Source organism: Homo sapiens, chromosome 12, assembly GCF_000001405.40.
Source record: "Homo sapiens chromosome 12, GRCh38.p14 Primary Assembly".
Lineage (NCBI taxonomy): Eukaryota > Metazoa > Chordata > Mammalia > Primates > Hominidae > Homo > Homo sapiens.
Window position 1 is genome coordinate 118,508,135 of NC_000012.12, and position 7,905 is coordinate 118,516,039.

Here is a 7,905-nt window from a genome sequence, read left to right on the forward strand (position 1 = left end):
CAGAACCCTAATTTTGTTCACATATTCTCTCCAACCCCAGCTTTAAGGGTAGACCTAGGCGAGGGGTCAGCTAACTTTTTCAGAAAAAGGCCAGAGAGTAAATATTTTAAGCTTTAGGAGTGAAGGCAAATGGTCTGTATCACAACGAAAGCAGTCATAGACAACTTGCAAATGAGTGTGTGGCTGCATTCTGGTGACACTTTATTTACGAAAACAGGCCAGTGGGCTACATCTGGTCTGTGGATTGTAGTTTGCTAACCCCAATGTAGGTTAATCTAAGCCAAGGTTTCTCAAGCTCAGTATTGCATTTTGGATGGATAATTCTTCATGGTGGGGCTGTCCTGTGCATTGCAGGATATTTAACAGCATCCCGGGCCTCTCTGCACTCAATGCCAGTAGCACCCACTCCCTTCTCTCCAAGTTGCTACAACCAAAAATGTCTTCAGGCATTGCTGACTGTCCCAGGTAGGGCATCTCCCTGGTGACTGTTAATGATTCAGACATAGTGACAAGACTCTAGCTGGTTTAAATAGACTAATGGAAAGGACTTAGTGTCTGTTATTTCGGGAGAGGTTCTCTTAGACTTAGATTGAAAAAGGAAAGCATTAGCAGCAAGTGCCACTGACATCCATACGACCATGCGGAAAATCAGACTCAGAGTGAAGTCTGCACCATGGATGGCAGAGCAGAGGAACAGCAAGAACCTGGGTTCTGGCTGGGTACGGTGGCTTATGCCTGTAATCCCAGCACTTTTGGAGGCTGAGGCAGGTGGATCACCTGAGGTCAGGAGTTTGAGACCAGCCTGGCCAACATGGCAAAACCCCCATCTCGAATCAAAATACAAAAATTAGCTGGGCGTCGGGGTGCGTGCCTGTAAAATCCCAGCTACTCTGGAGGCTGAGGCATGAGAATTGTTTGAACCTGGGAGACGGAGATAGCAGTGAGCCAAGATCGTGCTACTGCACTCCAGCCTGGGTGACAGAGTAAGACTCTCTCAAAACAAGCAAGCAAACAAACAAACAAACAAACAACCTGGGTCCTTTGGAGCAGCTGAATCAACTGGATCTGAAACTCTCTTTGCATATGGGCTTTGGTGGGTGAGATGACACATTTTATTGTTTTTGATGGAGCTTCTTAAGGACACTCAGAGAGGTCCTGTGTTCAAAGGATTTCAGTATCTGAGCCTGAAGAATGGTTGTATTTGTAATGGCTGAATATCATTCTTAAGGCAAACAGGACAGCAGGGCCTGTGATTAGGGGCAGAGTCCCTCAGCAAGGGTATGGGTGGGGAGGCACGGATTCGGGTCTCACTACCTTTCTCTTTCTTTTTGGCTCCATACAAGGCTTTGTGTATTTATCTTACTTCCTGGCCCCATGTAAATGTGGTGGTGCTTCGCATACTGGGGTTGGAATTTTGTGTGGACTTGGGCAGCAGTATGTGTCTTTTAGAGGAACTTGGTCTGCCTGATGGGTTACAGAGAATTTTTTAAATGGTTATCTTCCTAGGAAGGAGATTTGACCAGAAAAACAGTGGCAGTGTTTGGTGTCAGGACCTAAATTGCAAATATTGTAGCTGCAAGGATAACGGGAAACCAATTTCTATTCAATTCAAATCAGTTTCTTAGGATCATGCCCTTGATGCATTTAAGCCTTCTTGCTTTTCCCACTGTCCTTCGCCTTCCTCCCCCACCAGCTCTTGGCTGATACTGAGATGGTAAAAATGCACACAGAACAAAATCAACAAAAAGCAAGCTTCTAAGAAGGTTTTCACAGCAAGCCATTGAGTGGTGACAGAAGTGCTGTTGGACTTGGGCTGAGAGGGCCCTGTCTTCAGAACCTGGCTCTGAGCTGGCAGTTCGCTTCACTTTGCTAAGCCTCAGTTTACCCATCTGTGGGAATGGGTAGAATGATATGCACCTACCTGCATCCTCTTGAAGACAGAATGAGATAACGTATGTGAAAGAGTTAAATGAGGCAGAGAATGAGAGGAGAGCCGCTTAAACAGAACAAGGTTGTACTCAGTGGATATTTCAGGCCTGCATTCTTCTCCCTGTCACTTTTGGTGGTGCCTGGTGACATCCTAATTCCTTTTCTACGCGGGATGTTTTTTGGTTGTGGTTGAGGTTTCCTTAGTCCGGGCTGAGATGAACCAGATAAACCGGACATACAGAACTGCAGCATTTGCTGGATATTGGTGAGGACATATGGCTCTAGGCAGCAGGCTCAGAGCCAGGTGGTCAGGGGCTCCTGTAGGCGCTTTCCTGTCTCATGGGCAACTGCTGGCAGTTTAATGGACTCACAATTCCACATGGCTGGGGAGGCCTCACAATCATGGCAGAAGGCCAAGGAGGAGCAAAGTCATGTCTTACATGGCAGCAGGTAAGAGAGTGTGTGCAGGGGAACTGCCTGTTATAACCATCAGATCTCATGAGACTTATTCACTATCATGAGAACGGCATGGGAAAACCTGCTGCCATGATTCAGTTTCCTCCCACTGGGTACTTCCCATGACATGTGGGAATTATGGGAGCTACAATTCAAGACGAAATTTGGGTGGGGACACAGCAAAACCATATCACCCCCCGCTGCCAATGGCTTCCCACTGTATCTAGAATAGCATCCATCATTTCCTACTGTCTGATGGGAAATGTTCTGCCCTGCTTCCTCCAGAGTGGTCGAATTCTCATTTTTCAGGTATTCACTTAAAATTGTCTCTGACCTATTTAAGTCAGGTACCTCCCATCCCCATTGTCTTCATAGTGTTTACAACTGCCCATTATATGCCTGTTTGCAAGTTTGTTCATTCAGTGTCTGTCTCTTTTACTAGAATGTAAGCTTGGGGAGGGCAGGAACAGTGTCTATCTTATTTACCCCTCTTTCCTTGTGCCTGGTGCATAGTAGGTGCTTTAGAAATAACTGGTTGAATGAATGAATGCCATCAGGTTTGTGAAATCCCCAGTGATTCTTCACTTCATGCCCTTGGAGGGGGAGAAGGCTTCATCCAGGTGCTGTGAAGAGCTCTACAACTGGAGCATCATTCCAGTGGGGAAAGAGGTAGGAGAAACTTGCAGGTAAATATGTGCACTGCGTGCCAGACTCTCTGGGTTCAAATCCCAGCTCTGCCTGTTGCTACTGTGTGCCCTTTAGCAAGGGATTTAACCTCTCTTTCACTCTGATTCCTCCTTTGTCAAACAGGGATAACATCAGTATCAGCCTATGAGGGTTAATTGAGGTGATGCTTATGAAACCCTTGGCAGGATGCCTGGCCCACTGGGTGTGCTGAGTGATGGTGGCTGTGATTATTCAATTAGCACGTGTTGAACATTTCCATGTCTGTGTGATATTACACCTTTTCTCTTTTTCTATTTTTTTTGAAGTTAAAGCACCATTTATTCAACTCTCTGTTGAACATCTGTATTGTACTCCACTCTGGGGATACAGAAATGAGCCCACAAACACAATCCCTGTTGTCATGGGGCTTACATTTTGATGGGGAACACAGGCTCTGAACACATAATTACAGGTGCAATAAGCACAATGAAAGAACTAGGCTGGGTGCAGCACTTTGGGAGGCCAAGATGGGTGAATCACCTGAGGTCAGGAGTTCAAGACCAGCCTGACCAACATGTCGAAACTCTGTCTCTACTAAAAATACAAAACTTAGCCAGGCATGGTGGCACATGCCTGTAATTCCAGCTACTCGGGAGGCTGAGGCAGGAGAATCGCTTGAACCTGGGAGGCTGAGGTTGCAGTGAGCCGAGATTGTGCCACTGCACTCCAGCCTGGGTGACAGAGTGAGACTCCATCTCAAAAAAAAAAAAAAAAAAAAGAAAAAGAAAACTGGAGTGTGAGGGGAGCAAATTCCAAGGGAAACAGAACTTGTGTGTGTAGTGGGGGGTGTGCAGGAGATGTCTGGGTAAGGTGAGAGTTCTACCCAAGAATGTAAATCTAAGCTACAGATAGAGCTAAAAGTAGAGTAAGATCTATCCAGAAGATGGGATGGCAGGGGGAGGTCATGCTACGTAGAGGAAACTTGTGTACAAGTCCAGAGGCTGCAGATATCATGGCATATTTATTGCTAATATATATAAATACATACATATCATGATGCGTGATCATGATATCATGGCAGATATCATGGCATATTTATCACTAATATGTGTAAGTACATGCATAGCTGGATAACCTGGTTTTGGAAAATACTTGCTTTTTCAGGGATCTTTCCAAAGAAGACCCTGAGATAAGGATTTGAATGCAAGAGTTTGTCTGTTTTGAGATAGGGTCTCTTTCTGTCACCCAGGCTGGAGTGCAGTGGTGCAATCATGGCTCACTGCAGCCTCAGTCTCCTGGGCTCAAGCAATCCTCCCACCTCATCCTCTCAAGTAGCTGGGACTACAGGTGTGCACCACCATGCCTGGTTAATTTTTAAAATTTTTGTAGGGCTGGGGTTTTGCCATGTTGTCCAGGCTGGTCTCAAACTCCTAGGCTCAAGCAATGTGCCTGCCTTGGCCTCTCAAAGTGCTAAGATTACAGTGGTGAGCCACCACACCTGGCCATCAAGAGTTTTATCTAAGAAGTGATCCTGAATAGCAGTTGAGGAACAAGAGAATGAGAGACAAGAAGGAGCCAGGAAAGGGTGAGTTTATCAATGACTGTGGGCAACTGGGTAATTCTGGGAGCCAGTGTCAACATGCACCCGTTATCCCACCCAAAGGGCGAGGGAGCTGGGGTGTTTATACTCCCTCTTCCATCAATCATTGTTTGAGTCCTGCTCCTAGAGGGCATTGATTCCCTGGCACTTTCATCCTGCCACGCGTAACAAAGTGGGCTACAATTGCCAGTGAAAGCCATCAGACAAATGAAAGCAGGTGCTGGCCATTGGAAGTTGGGCCAGTGTGATAAAGGCGAGGGGATCAGGTGGGGCACCAATTCATCTGCTACACACCCCAACCATCTTTGATGCTTAAAGCTGTTGGAGTGGGCCAAGATCGGTTTGTGAAGGCTCTTACGAGCTGGTGTGAAAGATTTTGGACTCTACCCCTTGGGGAGCCAAAGTAGAAGTGAGGTGTCATCACACCTGCAACTTAGAAAGATCACTCTGGTCACCGGATAGAGAATGAACTGTTCTGGCCAGAGTGAATACTGATGGAGCCTTTGGGAAGCAATTGCAGCTCTCCAGGCAAGAGATGGTGGTGGCTTAGAGCAGCTGGGGTGGGGATGGAGGGAAGGGAATAAGTTGGAGAGAGGTTTAGGAGATGGAATAGACTAGATTTAGTAGGAGTCTGCATCTGGGGGAGGCAGCAACCCTTTTCCATAACGTCTTCCTTATGTTAAATTAGATGCAGGTGTCCCTGAGACTTGGCAAGTGGGGCTGTAATTTTCCTGTGCTCCCCACTGCGACCCCTTACCTGATAAAGCTCTGTCATCTGCTGCAGTCTTGCTGCCCAATCTTCATGGTACCTTCCAGGCTGCAGGGGCCAGCATAAAATAAATAGCCCCTATTTCCCTCCTTGCCAGCTTTCCTTCTGCCTTGCCCACCCTGCTGTGCCTAGCAAGGGTTGGCTCCAAGTGCCAGCTTCTGAACCAGCATTATTGTCAAGGAATGTGCAAGCAGCCGGGCCAGGGAGCAAGGGGCGGGGATGAGCATTCCATTTGCCATCTGTGGCTCAAGCGAGAGCTGTGCTGATACAGCCAGGGCCATCTCTGTGTGATGCAGAGAAATGCACTTCAGCTGAGCTGGCGATGGAAAAGTCATCTGTAGTCTCACATGTATGTCCCATGGGGTCACTGTGTTCTTTGACAGTGGGGCTGGGAGTGCAAGTCTGGAGATGAGAGGCTGGTGGTGAGGGGTGTGGAGGTCTGCTTTATCCTCAAATCCATTCCTCTGCTAAGCCCTGATGGGCACAGAATGCTACCATGTAGGGCTTTATACCTGCAGAATGGTGCTAGCCCTTGCTAAGCATATCATTGTTGTTGAAAGTCATGCTATTAGCCATTTTCAAGCATAAACATTTTATCTGGCATTTAGATCTTAAGATTGTCAGAATCTGAAGGAATTAGGCCAGGCGCAGTGGCTCATGCCTGTAATCCCAGCACTTTGGGAGGCCAAGGTGGGTGGATCACTTGATGTCAGGAGTTTGAGACCAGCTTGGCCAACATGGTGAAACCCCATCTCTAACAAAAATGCAGCCATTGCTGTGGCATGCACCTGTAGTCCCAGCTACTCTGGAGACTGAGGCAGGAGAATGGCTTGAGCCAGAGAGGCGGAGCTTGCAGTGAGCTGAGATTGCACCACTGTACTTCAGCCTGGGCAACAGAGGGAGATTCTCTCTCTCCGCAAAAATAAATAAATAAATAAATAAATAAATAAATAAATAAATTGAAGGATTATCCGACAAATAATTATCTCTGGCAAATTGGAAAATTCCTTTTTTCTTCTGAGTAAAGCCCACCCCCAAATGGTACTCTGATCCCAGGGATGCCAAGAGAGCTGTTGTTACCTCCAAGAGATGCCACCTTTGGCCTTAGATGATTGGTCCAGAAATACACTTGCAGACCCAAGATGGACCAATTAGAATGCTTCCCTACACTTGCAGACCCAAGATGGACCAATTAGAATGCTTCCCTACACTTGCAGACCCAAGATGGACCAATTAGAATGCTTCCCTACACTTGCAGACCCAAGATGGACCAATTAGAATGCTTTCCCACACTTGCAGACCCAAGATGGACCAATTAGAATGCTTCCCTACACTTGCAGACCCAAGATGGACCAATTAGAATGCTTCCCTACACTTGCAGACCCAAGATGGACCAATTAGAATGCTTTCCCACACTTGCAGACCCAAGATGGACCAATTAGAATGCTTCCCTACACTTGCAGACCCAAGATGGACCAATTAGAATGCTTCCCTGGGAGTCTGGACTTAGAGCTGAGAGAAAAGTTATGTAGTTTCTAGTGCCTGAAATTGTAACATACAGATAATGGTGAGTAGCTGTTTTTCTCCCATTAAGACTGAGGAAAGAGAGAGAGAAGGAGAGAGAGAGAGAGAGAGAGAAATAAAAAAAAGGAGAAGGAGGAACAGGAAAGACATAGAGATTGTTCCTAAGGCTCAGCTGTTTTCTACTCTTTTTATTGATACATAATTGTTGTATATGTTTATGAGGTACATGTGATATTTTAATATAAGCACACAATGTGTAACAGTCAAATCTGAGTAATTGGGATATCCATGACCTCAAACATTTACCATTTCTGTATGTTGGGAACATTTTAAATCTTCTGGCAATTTTGAAATATACTATTTTTTATTCTTTCAATTCCATGAAACACTTCAATATTCTTTTTTTTTTTTTTTTTTTTTGAGAAGGAGTCTCACTCTGTCACCCAGGCTGGAGTGCAATGGCATGGTCTTGGCTCACTGCAACCTCCGCCTCCTAGGTTCAAGCGATTCTCCCACCTCAGCCTCCCTAGTAGCTGGGACTACAGGCACGTGCCACCACACCTGTCTAATTTTTGTATTTTTATTAGAGATGGGATTTCACTACATTGGCCAGCCTGGTCTCGAACTCCTGATCTCATGATCCGCCCGTCTCGGCCTCCCAAAGTGCTGGGATTACAGGCATGAGCCCCCGCGCCTGGCTGAAACACTTCAGTATTCTTAGAATAAAACTGCCCTTCTTGCTTATGCTTGGTCAAGGTGAGCGTCTTTTATGTGGATGAAGGACAAAAAGAAAGGTCTCTTTTCACAGACGGCCAACACTTTAGAATTCTTTGAAGGGCTAAAGAGAAAGTTTGTCTCAATTCCTGATCTTAGAAATTCTTTGGTGTTTACGGATTCTCCCTGCAGCGGGTACCCCCTGGGAAGTGTAGACCCAGTGGTCAATGATAATTTTTAAAATGAA

At 46.1% G+C, this 7,905-nt stretch overlaps 1 annotated feature.

The window, feature by feature from the left end:
* Positions 4,722 to 5,222: an enhancer, noted in NCBI's record as "NANOG-H3K4me1 hESC enhancer chr12:118950661-118951161 (GRCh37/hg19 assembly coordinates)". NCBI's record gives its function as "activates a minimal SCP1, AML or CMV promoter by ChIP-STARR-seq in primed H9 embryonic stem cells {active_cell/tissue: H9 hESC(primed)}" and the evidence as "EXISTENCE:reporter gene assay evidence [ECO:0000049][PMID:30033119]".